The sequence below is a fragment of the Homo sapiens genome, chromosome 22 (genome assembly GCF_000001405.40).
Source record: "Homo sapiens chromosome 22, GRCh38.p14 Primary Assembly".
In the NCBI taxonomy this organism is placed as follows: domain Eukaryota; kingdom Metazoa; phylum Chordata; class Mammalia; order Primates; family Hominidae; genus Homo; species Homo sapiens.
This window is the reverse complement of record NC_000022.11, coordinates 49370146-49386609: the sequence shown is the minus strand read 5'-3', so window position 1 is coordinate 49386609 and position 16464 is coordinate 49370146. Positions and strand designations below refer to the sequence as shown.

The following is a 16464-nucleotide window of genomic DNA, read 5'->3' as shown; positions in this document are numbered from 1 at the left end:
TCTTAGACGTGAATCAGTATGACTGTGCACACAGAAAATCTCTTAGACATGAGTCAGTATGACTGTGTACATAGAAAAAATCTCTTAGACGTGAGTCAGTATGACTGTGCACACAGAAAAAAATCTCTTAGACGTAAGTCAGTATGACTGTGCACATAGAAAAAATCTCTTAGATGTGAGTCAGTATGACTGTGCACACAGAAAATCTCTTAGACGTGAGTCAGTATGACTGTGCACACAGAAAATCTCTTAGACGTGAGTCAGTATGACTGTGCACACAGAAAATCTCTCAGACATGAGTCAGTATGACTGTGCACATAGAAAATCTCTTAGACGTGAGTTAGTATGACTCTGCACATAGAAAAAATCTCTTAGATGTGAGTCAATATGACTGTGCACACAGAAAATCTCTTAGACGTGAGTCAGTATGACTGTGCACACAGAAAATCTCTTAGACGTGAGTCAGTATGACTGTGCACACAGAAAATCTCTTAGACATGAGTCAGTATGACTGTGCACATAGAAAATCTCTTAGACGTGAGTCAGTATGACTCTGCACATAGAAAAAATCTCTTAGATGTGAGTCAGTATGACTGCACATAGAAAATCTCTTAGATGTGAGTCAGTATGACTCTGCACATAGAAAAAATCTCTTAGACGTGAGTCAGTATGACTGCACATAGAAAATCTCTTAGATGTGAGTCAGTATGACTCTGCACATAGAAAAAATCTCTTAGACGTGAGTCAGTATGACTGTGCACACAGAAAAAAATCTCTTAGACGTAAGTCAGTATGACTGTGCACATAGAAAAAATCTCTTAGACGTGAGTCAGTATGACTGCACATAGAAAATCTCTTAGATGTGAGTCAGTATGACTGTGCACATAGAAAAACATCTCTTAGACGTGAGTCAGTATGACTGTGCACATAGAAAATCTCTTAGACGTGAGTCAGTATGACTGTGCACATAGAAAAAATCTCTTAGATGTGAGTCAGTATGACTCTGCACATAGAAAAAATATCTTAGATGTGAGTCAGTATGACTGTGCACATAGAAAAAATATCTTAGACATGAGTCAGTATGACAGTGCACACAGAAAATCTCTTAGATGTGAGTCAATATGACTCTGCACACAGAAAATCTCTTAGACGTGAATCAGTATGACTGTGCACACAGAAAATCTCTTAGACGTGAGTCAGTATGACTGTGCACACAGAAAATCTCTTAGACATGAGTCAATATGACTGTGCACACAGAAAATCTCTTAGACGTGAGTCAGTATGACTGGACACAGAAAATCTCTTAGAGGTGAGTCAGTATGACTGTGTACATAGAAAAAATCTCTTAGACGTGAGTCAGTATGACTGTGCACACAGAAAATCTCTTAGACGTGAGTCAGTATGACTGTGCACACAGAAAATCTCTTAGACGTGAGTCAGTATGACTGTGCACACAGAAAATCTCTTAGACGTGAGTCAGTATGACTGTGCACACAGAAAATCTCTTAGACGTGAGTCAATATGACTGTGCACACAGAAAATCTCTTAGACGTGAGTCAGTATGACTGGACACAGAAAATCTCTTAGACGTGAGTCAGTATGACTGTGCACACAGAAAATCTCTTAGATATGAGTCAGTATGACTGGACCTAGAAAATCTCTTAGACGTGAGTCAGTATGACTGTGTACATAGAAAAAATCTCTTAGACGTGAGTCAGTATGACTGTGCACACAGAAAATCTCTTAGATATGAGTCAGTATGACTGGACATAGAAAATCTCTTAGACGTGAGTCAGTATGACTGTGCACACAGAAAATCTCTTAGACATGAGTCAATATGACTGTGCACACAGAAAATCTCTTAGACGTGAGTCAGTATGACTGGACACAGAAAATCTCTTAGAGGTGAGTCAGTATGACTGTGTACATAGAAAAAATCTCTTAGACGTGAGTCAGTATGACTGTGCACACAGAAAATCTCTTAGACGTGAGTCAGTATGACTGTGCACACAGAAAATCTCTTAGACGTGAGTCAGTATGACTGTGCACACAGAAAATCTCTTAGACGTGAGTCAGTATGACTGTGCACACAGAAAATCTCTTAGACGTGAGTCAATATGACTGTGCACACAGAAAATCTCTTAGACGTGAGTCAGTATGACTGGACACAGAAAATCTCTTAGACGTGAGTCAGTATGACTGTGCACACAGAAAATCTCTTAGATATGAGTCAGTATGACTGGACCTAGAAAATCTCTTAGACGTGAGTCAGTATGACTGTGTACATAGAAAAAATCTCTTAGACGTGAGTCAGTATGACTGTGCACACAGAAAATCTCTTAGATATGAGTCAGTATGACTGGACATAGAAAATCTCTTAGACATGAGTCAGTATGACTGTGCACATAGAAAATCTCTTAGATATGAGTCAGTATGACTGGACATAGAAAATCTCTTAGACGTGAGTCAGTATGACTGTGTACATAGGAAAAATCTCTTAGACGTGAGTCAGTATGACTGTGCACACAGAAAATCTCTTAGATATGAGTCAGTATGACTGGACATAGAAAATCTCTTAGACGTGAGTCAGTATGACTGTGCACACAGAAAGTCTCTTAGATGTGAGTCAGTATGACTGTGCACATAGAAAATCTCTTAGACGTGATGAATTACACTAGCGAGGTGATCACGGGTCCACCTCTGTCTCGTGACTTAGCAATTTCACTCGCAGGCATTTACCTGGGGGTAGGGGTGCTGCCTGTCACCATAAGCAACTTCATAAGAATGTTTATAGCTCTGTTATCCGTAATCGCCCCAAACTGAAAATAACCAAAAAGTCTAAAAACAGAGCAGAAAGTGTGTGTAGAGACAAGGGAGCTTCCTGGCAGGACGGAGATGGTTTGTGTCTTGCTGTGGGTGCTGGGACACAATTTATACAATTGCTAAAGTTTATCAAACTGAACATTGAAGGTCTTTGTATTTTTGTATGTTCATGATATATTCAAACAAAACACTACAGCAATTCCCCACATTAATAGAATAAACCAGGAGAAAATGATAATCTTAGGCACAAAAAGTCTTTTGAAAAACATCAATATTCTTTTTTTTTTTTTTTTTTTTTTTTTTAAGATGGAGTCTTCCTCTGTCGCCCAGGCTAGAGTGCAGTGGCACGATCTCGGCTCACTGCAACCTCCACCTCCCAGGTTCAAGCGATTTTCCTGCCTCAACCTCCCGAATAGCTGAGATTACAGGCGCCCACCACTGCATCCAGCTAATTTTTGTATTTTTAGTAGAGATGGGGTTTCACCATGTTGGTCAGGATGGTGTCGAACTCCTGACCTCGTGATCCACCCGCCTGGGCCTCCCAAAGTGCTGGGATTACAGGTGTGAGCCGCCGCTCTCGGTCCAATATTCATTATTGATAAAATATTTGACAAACTGGGAAGAGAATGGAGTTTCCTTAATCTGATAATGCCAGGCAGCTGATGACATGATGGTGCGACAGGGATGCTCCCATCCTCCCTCAATTTTCATATTGAACTGCAGATTTTAGGCGGATCATTAAGGGGAGGGGAATAACTCAAGCATGAGGACCAGAATATAAAAAATCAAAGTTATTTGGGTACAACAGAATTGACTAGGTAACACTTCAAAAAGGTCACAGAATAATTATGAGAATTAATAAGTTGCATGTATCTTGGTTCCTGGAACAAGGTAAATATCATGTTTGTTTTTATATAAAAATCAACAATTAAAAATGGAATTTTAAAAACTGTTCTATAAATAGTATCAAAAATAAATAAATCTATGAAAAGTGTGCGTGACCTCTGAGCAGAAAGCGTCATCGAGAGAAAGGAAAGGCAGTCCAAGGGAACTCGAGCTCCACACCGCAGGGGTCAGGCTGGACCCACACGGCAGGGTCAGGCTGGACCCACACGGCAGGCATGAGGCTGGACCCACAGGGCAGGGTCAGGCTGGACCCACAGGGCAGGGATCAGGCTGGACCCACAGGGCAGGGATCAGGCTGGACCCACAGGGCAGGAGTCAGGCTGGACCCACAAGGCAGGGTCAGGCTGGACCCACACAGCAGGCGTGAGGCTGGACCCGCACCAGAGGGGTCTGACTGAGCTTCCATCTGAGGCTGTGAGGGGCAGAGGAGAGGCCATGAGGCTCAGCTGAGGACACATCCCGGGGGCTCTGACACAGCTCCCGGCCTTGGCACTGGGAGAGAAGCGAGGGTGGAGGAAGGATTTGCAGAGCTGACAGCACTTGCTCCTTTATTCCCCCAAATGTGAGCCTGGTTTTCTCAGAACCGCCTTCCCCACTTCCCTCCTAACTCAGGAACCTCCCCGCTTATCCTCATGGCCACCTGCTTTTTGTCTCTGCAGCATTTCATGCAAACTAAAGTTATTTTACTTAGTTTGTTTACATGGAACCATTTTGGTTTGTGTAAAATGTACAGAGACCATAGAAGCAGGTGGCCATGAACAGACACCGGGAAGCTGGGGGACACTGCATGAGGAGAGGAGTGGGGGACGTTTCTTCTGCTGAGACGGAAGCCGCAGGAGCCAGGTCAGGAGAAGCTCTTTCTGACAGAGGTACCCGGTGCTGGGCCAGGCTCTGAGTCAAGGCCATGAGCAAGGTGGGCGTGGCCCTGTTCCCCCAGACTGTGCACGGAAGGCGACCAGTACAGCAGGGGCTTTCAGGGATGTATTTAATTACATGTGAGGTACAAGGAGAGTGCCAGTCCAGAGCCCCACTGCTTCCTGGAATGGAGTGGTCAGAGGAATCCTGAGTAAACTGGAGCCGGAGGGAGTAAGAGTTAACAGGAGAAGGAGGGCGGGAAGGTGGGGCTTCCTAGGAGGCACGCACAGTACCCGAGCCCTGAGCCCTGAGCTGGGGAACAGTGGGGCAGGGTTAGGGAATGAGGACAGGAGGACAGCCAGCCCTCCAGGACAGGAGTGCATACTAGAAGGGATGCAGAGGAAGCAGAGCCAGGCAGGTGGGACATCGCAGGTGGGGTCATAATTTTCGACCCAATGGCAGTGGAAAGCAGCTGAGGTCTGGTAACCAAGAGTGTGACCCAGTGAGATTCATGGTTTAGAGACAGTGTGCTTTCAGAACCAGGAGAAAGATGGGTGGCCACTCGGACCAGAGTGATCGCCCAGAGATGGAGGCCTCATAGACTGGAGAAATGTTTTCTACTCGAAATCACCACACTTGAAGATTGGTTGGAGCGGAGTTGGAGGAAAAGGAAAGGCTGACTGAAAGTGTCTGGGGAGTGATATTGAGAGGAGTGTGGATTCGTAGAACACACACCTGGATGGGGAGAGCGGACACCCGAACTCCATCACGGAAAGCCCTGGAAGCCTTGGGAAAGGATGAGTTGACGAGCAGCTGTGTTGAAGGCCACCCCTGTGGGGGATGGTGGTGTGCTGAGGCCGGCCACTATCAGCTGCTTTCTAGACTGAGTGGCTCTGTTTCATGCAATTTTTATAGAATTTTGTGTGCTAAGTAGGACACATGATCTTTTAATTACAGAGCAGAACCATAACCAAGCTCAGACCTTGGAGCCTGCTGCATTTGGTGTTGACTGAGGACTGCCCTCAGCCTGCCTGGCGAGTCAACACCTTGCAGATCATCACCATCCACTCCCCAAGTGTCCAGATGATTGGGCTTCCTGAAGTGGCTGCAGATCTTGCTCTGACTCCAGGTTGGATAAAGTGAGGTTGAAGGTGGGGGTGTCAAAGGTGACTCAGATTTCACCAGGTGCAGGGAGCTTTCCAGGGATGGGGAAGACACGCCAAGGCTCTCTGAGGAGGCAAAGGCCAGGTGCATCCTGTGCGTGTTGCTTGCAAGAATCTTTGCATACTGAGTGGAGAAGGTCAGGTGCATCCTGTGTGTGTTGCTTGCAGGGATCTTTGCATACCGAATGGAGAAGGTCAGGTGCATCCTGTGCATGTCGCTTGCAGGGATCTTTGCATACCGAATGGAGAAGGTCAGGTGCATCCTGTGCATGTCGCTTGCAGGGATCTTTGCATACTGAGTGGAGAAGGTCAGGTGCATCCTGTGTGTGTTGCTTGCAGGGATATTTGCATACTGAGGGGAGGTGTGCAGATGCAGGAGTGGAGCTCATCGGATCCCTTACAAGGCGATGCATTGATTTCATGTCTAACCTGAGAACTGCAGTTTTTAGTCCCTTTTACGAGGCTGGGGAGCCAGGAGAAGCACGGCATTTGGGGAGAAAGGCAGTCACCTTGAGCTTGGATATGCCACATTGAGGCCTTTGTCACACACTCCATCCAAGTAGAGATTAATCCAGGACAGTGGGGCCTCGATGTGGCCTCTCTCCTTTCGGATTTGTGATCTAAGCCTGCATCCTGCTGTTTTAATTCACCCTTCAGCCTCTAAGCCCCACAGGTTCTGGTCTTTGGTGAAATCTAAGTAATGACCATCCCCTTCCTGGGAGAATCTTCTGTTTTCTCCCACCTGACTGACTCCTTTGTTTCCAGCCACCCTTTGCAATTTGGGTCACAGAAGTACCACTCAAGTGCTCCATCAGGGAACTGACCACATGCAGTGTGGAACCTTTGGTGGGACCACGTTGACAAGGGTGGCCTCTGCGCCTTTGGCTAGGGAGAAGACTTCTAAGTGGGTTGCAATTCTGTGTGCTCAATTATTCAGCAGACTTTTTAGCTGAAAGTGTTGAAAGGATTTGCAATCTGTTATATTGCGGGTGCCTGCTATGAAATTCTCCATGTCCCTCGAGTTCTTTAGGCAACTGACAAAATGAGGGTATGAAATAACTTTTTGTTCCCTGTTAATAATGTCGGGGGAATGCAGAATCGATGCTTTTAAATATTTCATGGCCTTTCATTCTGAGATGGGTAAACAGAGGAGAAGCAAACTGCAAGACTTACATGTTAGTGGTCGGTAAAGACTAATGACCCAGCGCAGTAACTCATAAGACAAGTTGGGCTAAAAAATCTCCCACTGAGATCCCATTCCCCAAGGTGGCACAGACTGGCAAACCAAATGTGTGAGAAAGGGGGCAGGTGCGTTATTCCCCAACTTCACACCCCATGGCCCTGAATACCCTCCTGTTAATGCAGGCAGCAGAGGGAGGGGACACACCCTCCAGGAAGCAAGTGGGAGTCCCCACTTTTGTTTTTTTGTTTTTAGCCACTGCACTGCTGCACACAGATTTTCACTTTCTTTTGGAAGCAGAATGAACCCATTCAACACTTTGCTGATGAGAAAAAAGACATAAGGAGGGTGATATTTCTCAAAATCTAGTTTTTCCTGAAATTTAGCTGATATTAAATGACTCTTAGGCTCGCTCAAACGGGCACCCACACTAAAGATGATAAGAAACTGCCTTTGTCCTCTTCTTCCTATCCAAACGTCTGCTCCATCACCATCAATTCTGTCTTTAACCTCCTGTAACCGGGTCATGTTATTTCACCAAGTCTGCACTGGAAAAATTAACTACCTGGTTCCATATTGTCAAATCCAAGGGGCACAGTGAGTTCTTTTCCTATTTGACACTGTTGATCGCTCCCTCTGGCTTAACTCTCTCCTCATTAATTCTGTAAAATGACTTTATAGCACTTCTTCTTTTATCTCTCCAATCACGCTTCCCATTGTCCTTCAGAACATTTGTTTTACTGAATTTACTCTGTCCATCTCCTGCGCGCCACTGGTCTTCAAGGGTCCATTCTGATCTCGTTTCTTTATTCGCCCTGCTCTGGGAAAAGCACCTGGGGGTAGGTGCAAGCGGGAGGAAGTTCGACTCGGAGGAATTGTTTTTCACTCAAGCCCTGCAGTTTAATTCCAAAGCATCGGGAAGGAAGGCACGGGGGTTTCCACTTCTGGAGGGAGGGAGCGCATGAGGGGTGTTGGGAATTGTCATGACCTCTTAATCCAGGGCTGCCCACAAGCTGGCTTTGACATCTGCCTTGGTGCTGATATGTTAGAGGTGGCGTCTCCAGCCTGGACTGTCTCTGGAATTCACCGATCTGACACCACCCCTACCCACACCCTACACCTGACACAGGCAACTCCCGCCAGTCCCGTCTCAGGTCATCATCCTCATGGTCAGATACCGTCTCTCCCCGGATTCCATGTGTCAGCTGGAACTACCAAGAACATCCAATCCCCCCACAGAAGATTTTAACTATCTGAAGTTTAAATAATATAATAACTATCTAAAATTTAAATAACCAACTCTCTGACCACTGCCTCCTGGCTTTAGCAATCTCTCCATCATTCCCAGAATATTACTTGCACATACTGCAAACAAACCGCCTCCTGATGGCCTCTGTCCACTCCACGAGCTCTCCTGCCTCCCAGCAGAGTCCAGAACCCCAGTGCTTGCTCCGATTTTCTTTCTCCTGAGCTGAGGGGGTGGGGTGTACCCCACCCTGCCGAACCTTATTTTTGGATATCATTGCTTTATCTGCTGAAACTGTTAGAGAAAACTGTAGAATTGTCCAGTCTGATGACATGACTAATTGATAGCCATGGTCTCCATTCCACCAGGTCCCAGCCCTGGTCTTCCTCCTCCCCATGTCTCTGGGATGGGGCACAGAAGCTTCTCCCTGACTGTCATCCCCTTCCCCCGTCATTTGCTGTCCTGAGGGCATCTTTCGCGCCCACAGTCCTTACTCTCTTTCCATTCCTACCTCAGGACATTGTCCCCAGAAACGCATCCCATCATCTTGGCCCCGTTCCTTTCATAAATTCCCTTAGACAGAGATTCCTCTCTCCCGGATTTGCCGCTGCACTTTTTCTTTCCCTGGCAAATTCAAACGTCCTTAAGTTTTTCCTATCTTAGTAAAAAGTAAAGATGAAATAAATAAGTAAAAAATAAATAAATAGATGAAAGAAAGCTTTGGTTCCAACGGAACCCTCCATGTGTCCTCCTCCCGCCCCCTCATGTGTCTTGAAAGAGTGGGACTCAGTTTCCTCAATCCCCAGAGCCCCGAATCCAGCCGGCTACTGACATCTACCCTCATCCCCGTCCGCTGGAAACTCCTGTTGCCAGGTCAACTTTCCTCAAGTCCCAGAGCCGACTAACATCTACCCCCGTCCCATCCACTGGAAGCTCCCGTGGCGAAGTCAACCTCCTGTTGCAAGGCCCAGAGGCTGCATTTAAGGACTGTCTTTTGAGCTCTCTACACGGTTGGAGCTGTTGGCCATTCTCTGTTTTCTTTGTGGAGAGTAGAGGGAATAAGGGGAGAGTTCTTCGCTTCGACCTGACTTTGCACATCTGGATCTAAAATAGCTCATCGTGTGCACCTTTCACAGAAACACTCCCACGCACTCACCGCAGAAGACGGAAACTTCTCCGGAGATGATGCCCTGGGATAGATCTCAGATGGAGACAAGAATCCCACATAATTCCATCCCTTGGGAAAGAAAAACTGTTAAATAGCATTTCATCCCAACAGTGAATAAACTCTTGCACTCTCGCACATATATTTCAAGGTCTCCACTATATAGATTTTATTCTATTTTTTTCACTGATTACACTTATTTTACTGTGTGGTTAAACAATGCCAATAACGTGGTTATAAATTTGATGTCAATAACAATGAATTTGTAAGAGAAATATATGTAATTTTGAAATGTTGATCAAATCATGGTAATATTAAACCTTATTTTATATTAGCCAAATTTAGAAAATTGAATGGAACATGTATAAGATATTAAATTATGATGAATCGTTTTTTTTACATAAAGAACTGGCTTGGTTAAAAGTTAAATTAGTTAGCATATTGAAGGCACCTGTACCAAGGCTAAGTGCTACAAAGATGTTATAGCTGCTATTGTTATTATGAGTCCAATATTTACTTTATACAGTAGACCCTTAAATAACCTGAGGTTTATGGGCACTGATCCCCTACACAGTGAAAAATACTCATACAACTTTGGACTCCCCCAAAACTTAGCTCCTGAGGGCCAACTGTTGACTGGAAGCCTTACAGATAACATAAAAACTCAATTAACACATAATTTGCATCTGTGTTATATACTGTATTTTTATAATAAAGTAAGATAGAGAAAGGAAAATGTTATGAAGAAAGTCCTAAGGAAGAGAAAATCTACAGACTATTCATTAGGTGGGAGTGGGGCACGATCAAGGTCTCCATCCTCGTCGTCTTCACGTCAAGTGGGCTGAGGAGGAGCAGAAGGAGGAGGAACTGGTCTTGCTGTCTCAGGAACGGCCGTGGTGGAAGAAAATCCAAGTATTAGTGGAGGAACATGGGTTCAGTTGGAAACATGGAACTGCAGAAAAGAATGAACAGAATCAGAAAAGGAAAATGTACTGTTTGTTGCTTAGAGTAACAATAATAACCGTATCCTTTGCATTTCTAAAGTAGATGGTGGCAACCGCCAAAGGACAGATGAGAAGTAAATATACTTAAATAATGATAGATTCTTGCATTCTTTAATAAGTGATAAAAAATTAATTTAAGATAAACTGTAAGGATAAGTAAGATAAACTGTAAGGATAAGTAAGATAAACTGTAAATTAAGGATACACATTTAAACCTTCATGCGTTCAGGAAGAAAATAACACTAACATGCATAACTGATAATATAAAGGATATAAAATAATAAAAATACTTGATCACTGGAAATAAGGCAAGAAAAGAGGAAGGAACAAAGAGTAGACGGGTTGAATGCAGCACTCCTAGCAAGATGGCAGACTTCATGCAGTTATATCATCGGTTCCATGACATGGAAATGGGCCAGACATTCTGATTAAAATCCAAGGAGCATTTGTTTGAATGTTATTTTAAATACACCCAGCTATGTGCTATTTGTAATATAAATGCTTTAAATAGAAGGAAACACATTGAACACATTGATTGTAAGGTAAAGGATGGAAAAATACACACCATGCAAACACAAACCAAAAGAAAGTTTGAGGCCAGGCATGGTGGCTCACGCCTGTAACCCAGCACTTTGGAAGGCTGAGGCAGGGGGATTGCTTGAGCTCAGGGGTTTGAGATCATCCTGGCCAACAAGGTGAAACACCGTCTCTACTAAAAATACAAAAAAAATTTAGCCAGGCCTGGTAGCATGTGCCCCTAGCCCCAGCTACTCTGCAGACTGAGGTGGGAGAATCACTTGAGCCCTGGAGGCAGAGGTTGCAGTGAGCCAAGATCATACCACTGCACTCCAGCCTGGGCTACAGAGTGAGACCCTGTCTCAAAAAAAAAAAAAAAAAAAAAAAAAAAAAAAAAGAAAAGAAAAGAAAAAGAAAGAAAGAAAGAAAGTTTGAGACTATACGAAGCTATACCCATTTCAATTTCAAACAAACAGAATGTAAAGCAAGACGTGCTGCCAGAAATAAAGAAGGATTTTTAACAATGACAAAGGGCCGATTCCACAGGGGGAGATAACAATCTTAAATGTACATGCACCTAATGACACAGCTTCAGTTAGATGAAGGGAAACTCGGCAGACTGGGAGAGAAGCTCCCAAGTCTATGTCGAGTTGATATTCCTCCATACTTCCCTCACTAACGCTACCTGCAACCACATCTAAAACCTACAGAACACACATGCTTTCCAAGTTTTTAAGTTTTAGTGCAAGATTTATGAAAATAGACCATATGCTAGGCCAAAAAACAAGGCTTAATACATTTCAAATTATTGGAATCATGCACATTATATATTCTTATCATAATGTAATTAAACTGGAAGTCAGTTACAAAAAGATTATGAAAAAAGCCCCAAATATTTAGAAATTGTGAAACACATTTTAGATTTCCCATGAATTGAAGAAGAAATCATAGCAAAATTAGAAAATATTTAAACTGAATAAAATAAGAACTAGATGTGTATGTGTGTATATATATATATATATATATATATATATATATATATATGTATATAACATATAATATGTAACATATATAGAACAGATCTAAACTTGTGGGAAACAGCCAAAGCAAAACTTAGAGGGAGATTATAGCTTTAAATGCCTATGTTAAAAAGAACAAAATTTGAAAATCAATGATGTAAACTTTCAATTCAAGGAACTATGAAAAGAACAGTATATAAAACCCCCAAAAACTGAAGAAGGAAAATAAAGATAAGACCAAAAATCAATGAAATAGAAAGCAGATTTACCTTTGACAGGTTCGTTCTTTGGAAGTATTAGCTAATAATTCATTTCCTAGGAATAATATTTTAAAAAACCAGAAAGAAAACACAAGTTATGACTGTTAGCAATAAAATAGGAATATTCATTAAAGGTCAATAGATATTAACAGGGCACAAAGAGGATATTAAGAGTAACTTTTTGCCTGTTAGTTTTATATTGAGGAAATGGACAAAAGACCTCCCACCGTAGGATTCCACGGCATTGATCTTATGAAAAAGGCAGGCCGTAGGGAAAGAGAACGCCTCGGCCGGGGAGCTGGTAACCCTCCTCGTGGGATCCTGTCTTGAGGGTCCCAGGACGCTGCAGTCCCGGGGTGGAGGGGCTTCGGGCACCTGGTCGCTCCCTCTGCCTGCAGATAAAACTGCCGTCTCCAGAGCCCACTTGCCAGCTTCCTGGAAAACAGGAGCGGCCTCTGCCTGCCCAGTGCTTGGAGGTCACCTTGGCAGATGATGGCATTCGGTGGCTGCTCCTGTCACCAAAGTCAGGACAGAGTGCGTGGGGAGTGGCTCCGCCTCCTGGCTCAGGACCCGGGCATCTCATGGTGGGTGCCCACTGAGCATCATGGCCTCTCCCAGCAATGCTGGGACCCCGTCTCTCTCTCCTCGTGGCTGTGCATAGGTCATTTCCTTTGTTATTTTGGAGCTCCAAGTTCTGCAGCAGCCACAGCCCGCGTCCTTTCTCGGGGCTTCCTGACTCCACTCTGGGTCACCTGTGTGTCTCCCTTTTTCTGGGCTTGTTTGTGCAGTGGATGCTGCCTCATTACGGAGCTCCACGCCATGTTCTTCTTGCATCAGGATGTGGACAGGGTGAGCAGGGCCAGCTTCGCCTCCTGGGCTGCCCCTGGCTGTTCACTGCTGAGCCATCGTCTCTGCTCTTCCCAACTCCAGTCACACTTGTCCTGGCTTTGGAGCAGTTTCCTGGGTGGACGTCTCCCTGTGCTTCCCCAGCTGGAACCAGCCCCACAGGCCCCCTGTGGCAGCAGCATGAGGCTGGGAGTTGGCCCCTCCTGCAGGGACCGGGACTTTTCTTCCTCTGAAACAGCTCCTTTATCCCCTGTTTTGCTGACTTTGCCTTGTGGATGCCTCTGGCATCTTCTCTGTTTGTTTCTGGTCCTGAGGCCTCCCGGGCCCTGCTTTCCTTCCGGACTCTGGGGCTGACCGTGGCCATACTCCCAGGTGCGAGTGACCTGCAGAGACGGAGGCTTCCCAACCCCAGGCAATGCCCACCGTGTCCCTCTTCCAGGGACCTACCGCCGCCCTGGGTGTTCCTCCTGGCTATGCCCACGTGGTCATCACTGAGGCACTCTGGGCCTCCCTCCTTGGGCTGGGTCTGGCTCTTCTGCACCCTGAAAGCGATGCCTGCAGCTGGCTGGCCTGCCCAGCACCCGGTGCTTCCCTGGGCTTCTGCTCACCTCCCCACAGCTCTGCCCTTTCCAGCCCGAGGACGGCCTGGCAGTCGGCACTCAGGACAGGAGCCCTCCAGAGCAGAGGCTGTCTGGTCATAGGCGGGGGCGGCCTCCAGCAGGGCCACCCAATGGCTGGTCATTCCTGGGGACAGAGAGGGTGGGGACTGAGTCAGACAGTCCCATGAGGGCTGAGCTGCTGCCATCTCCAGGCTGAGTCATTGTTCTTCCCACCAGGCCCTTCCTGCATACCAGGGAGAGGCTCATTCACCTCCCTCAGCCAGTGCCCCTGATGCTGTCCCCCCAGCCAGGTCCTGCTGACTGGAAGGCTGCAGGGAGGACCTCGGAGTGCGCAGGGAAGAAGGACCCAACCCAAGAGCCGTCCCCAGTGCAGACGGCAGAGACTGCAGCTGCGGGAGCCTTCAGACCTGCTCCAGGCCCCAGAGTCCAGGGCCCATTCTGAGCACTCTCCCTGGTGCTGAGGCTCAGGAAACCTGGGGGCGGGGTGGGGGTGATGCTGTTTTTCTCCCAATTCAGTGAAAGGATGTGTCCTCCCCATGAAGGCTGGGGGTGCAGGGAACGGGGCCGTGGTGCTGACAGTGGTGAGCGGTTTCTCTTTCTTCTGAGGATGCCGCTGCTTTCACTGAGTTCCAAGGGCTTCGTTTAAGCAGGCGCCTAGCTAAAGCAGGCAAGAGAGGAAGAATCACTCAAGGCACCCAGGCTCCTTCACCACGACTCCCTGGCTCACGCACTTCCCTCGGGCGCCGTCCTGATTTCCCTGCAGCACCTGGACGTTCCCCGGCCTGGGACTCCGACCACCTGACTCCCACCCCACAGCACCCATCTGCCAGCCCAGAGGCCTGAAGCAAATCTGTGGGGGTCAGTAACCCGCTCTGCATGCGGAAAGCCTGGGATCACCCTGTCCCCGGGCCGTGTCTTCTGTGGGGTCACAGCTGAAGGCACAGACCACAGTGGAAATGCACGTGCTGCTGGGCATGGGGGGCCGGGGTGTGGGGGGGGCACGGGCTGCGGGCATGGGGGGCCCAGCACACAGCTCTCCTGGTGGGGACACACTTAGGAGACTCAATGAGCCCACAGGGTCCAGAGAGTCCCTTTGGGGCTTTTCAGAGAGACTTAGACTGTGAAAAGGATTCTGTAGAAAGTGGAGCCCGAATGAGCCTGGGCATCCCAGCGCCCCCAAGGCTTGGACCAGGTGTCCAGAGGAGCTTTCAGGCTGGGGGACCACGTGAGCCGGGTGGACCTGGCGACAGCCCGGTGCCCGTCTGCTGTCCTGCCGTCCTGTGCAACTACGCCCCATGCCCCTTTCACCCTCGAGTGTGCCCAGGCTGAAGGAGAAAGCACGTCCATCTCTGGATCCGTCTCCTCCTGGGGAGATTTTCAAGGATTCTTTGCCGTTTCAGACATGGCTGGAAACACCCACCCGGGACTCTAAAATCCCAGGGCAGGGCTGGGTGGACTTGCTTTACGAAGCTTGCGAACAGGGTGCTGTACCGGTTCCCATCTTCGTGGTGGCAGGGAGGGACTGCAGGACAGGGAGGGCCGTCACTGGCCTGGAGGTGACAAGGACGCTGCAGAGGCCACCATGTCTCAGGGCAGAGGCCACCAAGTCTCAGTGCGGAGACCTGGGCCTGGTGTTCCATGGCTTTGGAGAGGGCTCCTGGTGGAGCTTATGGTTAATTAACATGGAGTCTTGATTCACACGTGAAGCAAGTTCCCATCTCCACTTGCTCCTCCCTGACATTTGGGCTGTCACGAGCCCCGGCAGGCTGGGGGTGGCCTGCATGAGCTTCTCAGCTGAGCACAAAGGGTGTGGGCTTGGAGGGGTCTCAATGGAGTGAGGAGCATTAGCCCAGGAAACGACGCCTCTCCCGAGTGTTTTAAGAATGCACCATTCGTCCGTGTGCGTGTGTCATGCGAGGTGCGCCGGGAAGGAGCTTGGCTTAGGCAGCACCTGCTTCTCTCTGAAAACCACCGGAATGGTCGGCCTGCATCCCAGGAAGCTCACCACATGCAATAAGGAGGCAGGCATCGTTTGGAAAGAGCGGGCTGTCGGTAGCCCGTCAGGGCACGCAGAGCTGGCCGCACCTCATTTATCAACAAGTAAAAACCTCCTCCTCGCGATGAACAGATGACCCTAAGCGCAAGATCAGAGAGACAGCCGGTCTCCCGCAGCTTTCCAGAGACAATGTGCTTTGAAACAAGGCGCCTGCTCTTCCATCGACAATGCAAAGGCTTGCATTATTAAACAAGCTGCTTAATAATTTAGGCTGAAATAAACTTGGAACACAGAAGAAAGCGCTCCGTCTGCCCTTGCAGTAATGAAATGCTATTGAACTTGGGTTTGGAGGGATGTGGACGTCCAGTTCAAATGAATTATGATACCTTGGGGCAGCCATGGACAAAGAGCCTGTGACTAATGCCTTAAGTGAGCCCACTCAGCGCACCTCTCAGACCTCACAGAGCAGAGAACCCAAAAGCCCAGTCCCTGGGTCTCCTCCAGGCAGTCCACAGGGATTTCTCCTGTGCTGTTTCCACTGTCAGCCGGGAGACCTCGGCAGCACAGCCTGGGGGAAGCCACAGAGCTTCATCGAGGCACTCTTGCCAGACAGAGTCCGCCTGCAGCCCTGTCTCTGCTCTGTGCCCAGCCAGTGTGAGGCTTAGGGGGTCCTTCATTTCCCTCTCCTTGTTGGAGCCCAGAGCCAGCGATGGCAATCCTGCTCTTTCCTCTCGGGTCTTCCTCACTGCTTCTGTGCAGTGAACATCCTCCCTGCTAGGGTCCCCTGTAGCCAGAATCACCTCAGCCCTTCCAGGCTAAAATGCAAGCTGCTTCCCCAGGGCCTCTCATCCCAGGGGCCTGTCCT

The 16464-nt window shown here is 47.4% G+C and overlaps 1 long non-coding RNA gene across 1 annotated transcript, besides 3 other annotated features; it reads right to left on the bottom strand.

Annotated features, from left to right (window-relative positions):
- Positions 1–9478: 9478 nt before the first annotated feature.
- On the bottom strand, positions 9479–13652 carry LOC124905143 (uncharacterized). The gene is made up of 2 exons (XR_007068148.1): positions 12147–13652; positions 9479–10290 (listed from the first exon to the last, which is right to left on the bottom strand). It is a non-coding gene; the product is annotated as an uncharacterized LOC124905143 (long non-coding RNA).
- Positions 13466–14407: an enhancer, noted in NCBI's record as "H3K27ac-H3K4me1 hESC enhancer chr22:49768106-49769047 (GRCh37/hg19 assembly coordinates)". NCBI's record gives its function as "activates a minimal SCP1, AML or CMV promoter by ChIP-STARR-seq in naive H9 embryonic stem cells {active_cell/tissue: H9 hESC(naive)}" and the evidence as "EXISTENCE:reporter gene assay evidence [ECO:0000049][PMID:30033119]".
- Positions 13610–13904: an enhancer, noted in NCBI's record as "tiled region #4902; HepG2 Activating DNase unmatched - State 20:ReprD, and K562 Activating DNase matched - State 8:EnhW". NCBI's record gives its function as "activates a minimal TATA promoter and a strong SV40 promoter by Sharpr-MPRA in HepG2 cells, with weaker activation in K562 cells {active_cell/tissue: HepG2 | K562}" and the evidence as "EXISTENCE:reporter gene assay evidence [ECO:0000049][PMID:27701403]".
- Positions 13650–13944: an enhancer, noted in NCBI's record as "tiled region #3830; HepG2 Activating DNase matched - State 20:ReprD, and K562 Activating DNase unmatched - State 8:EnhW". NCBI's record gives its function as "activates a minimal TATA promoter and a strong SV40 promoter by Sharpr-MPRA in HepG2 and K562 cells {active_cell/tissue: HepG2 | K562}" and the evidence as "EXISTENCE:reporter gene assay evidence [ECO:0000049][PMID:27701403]".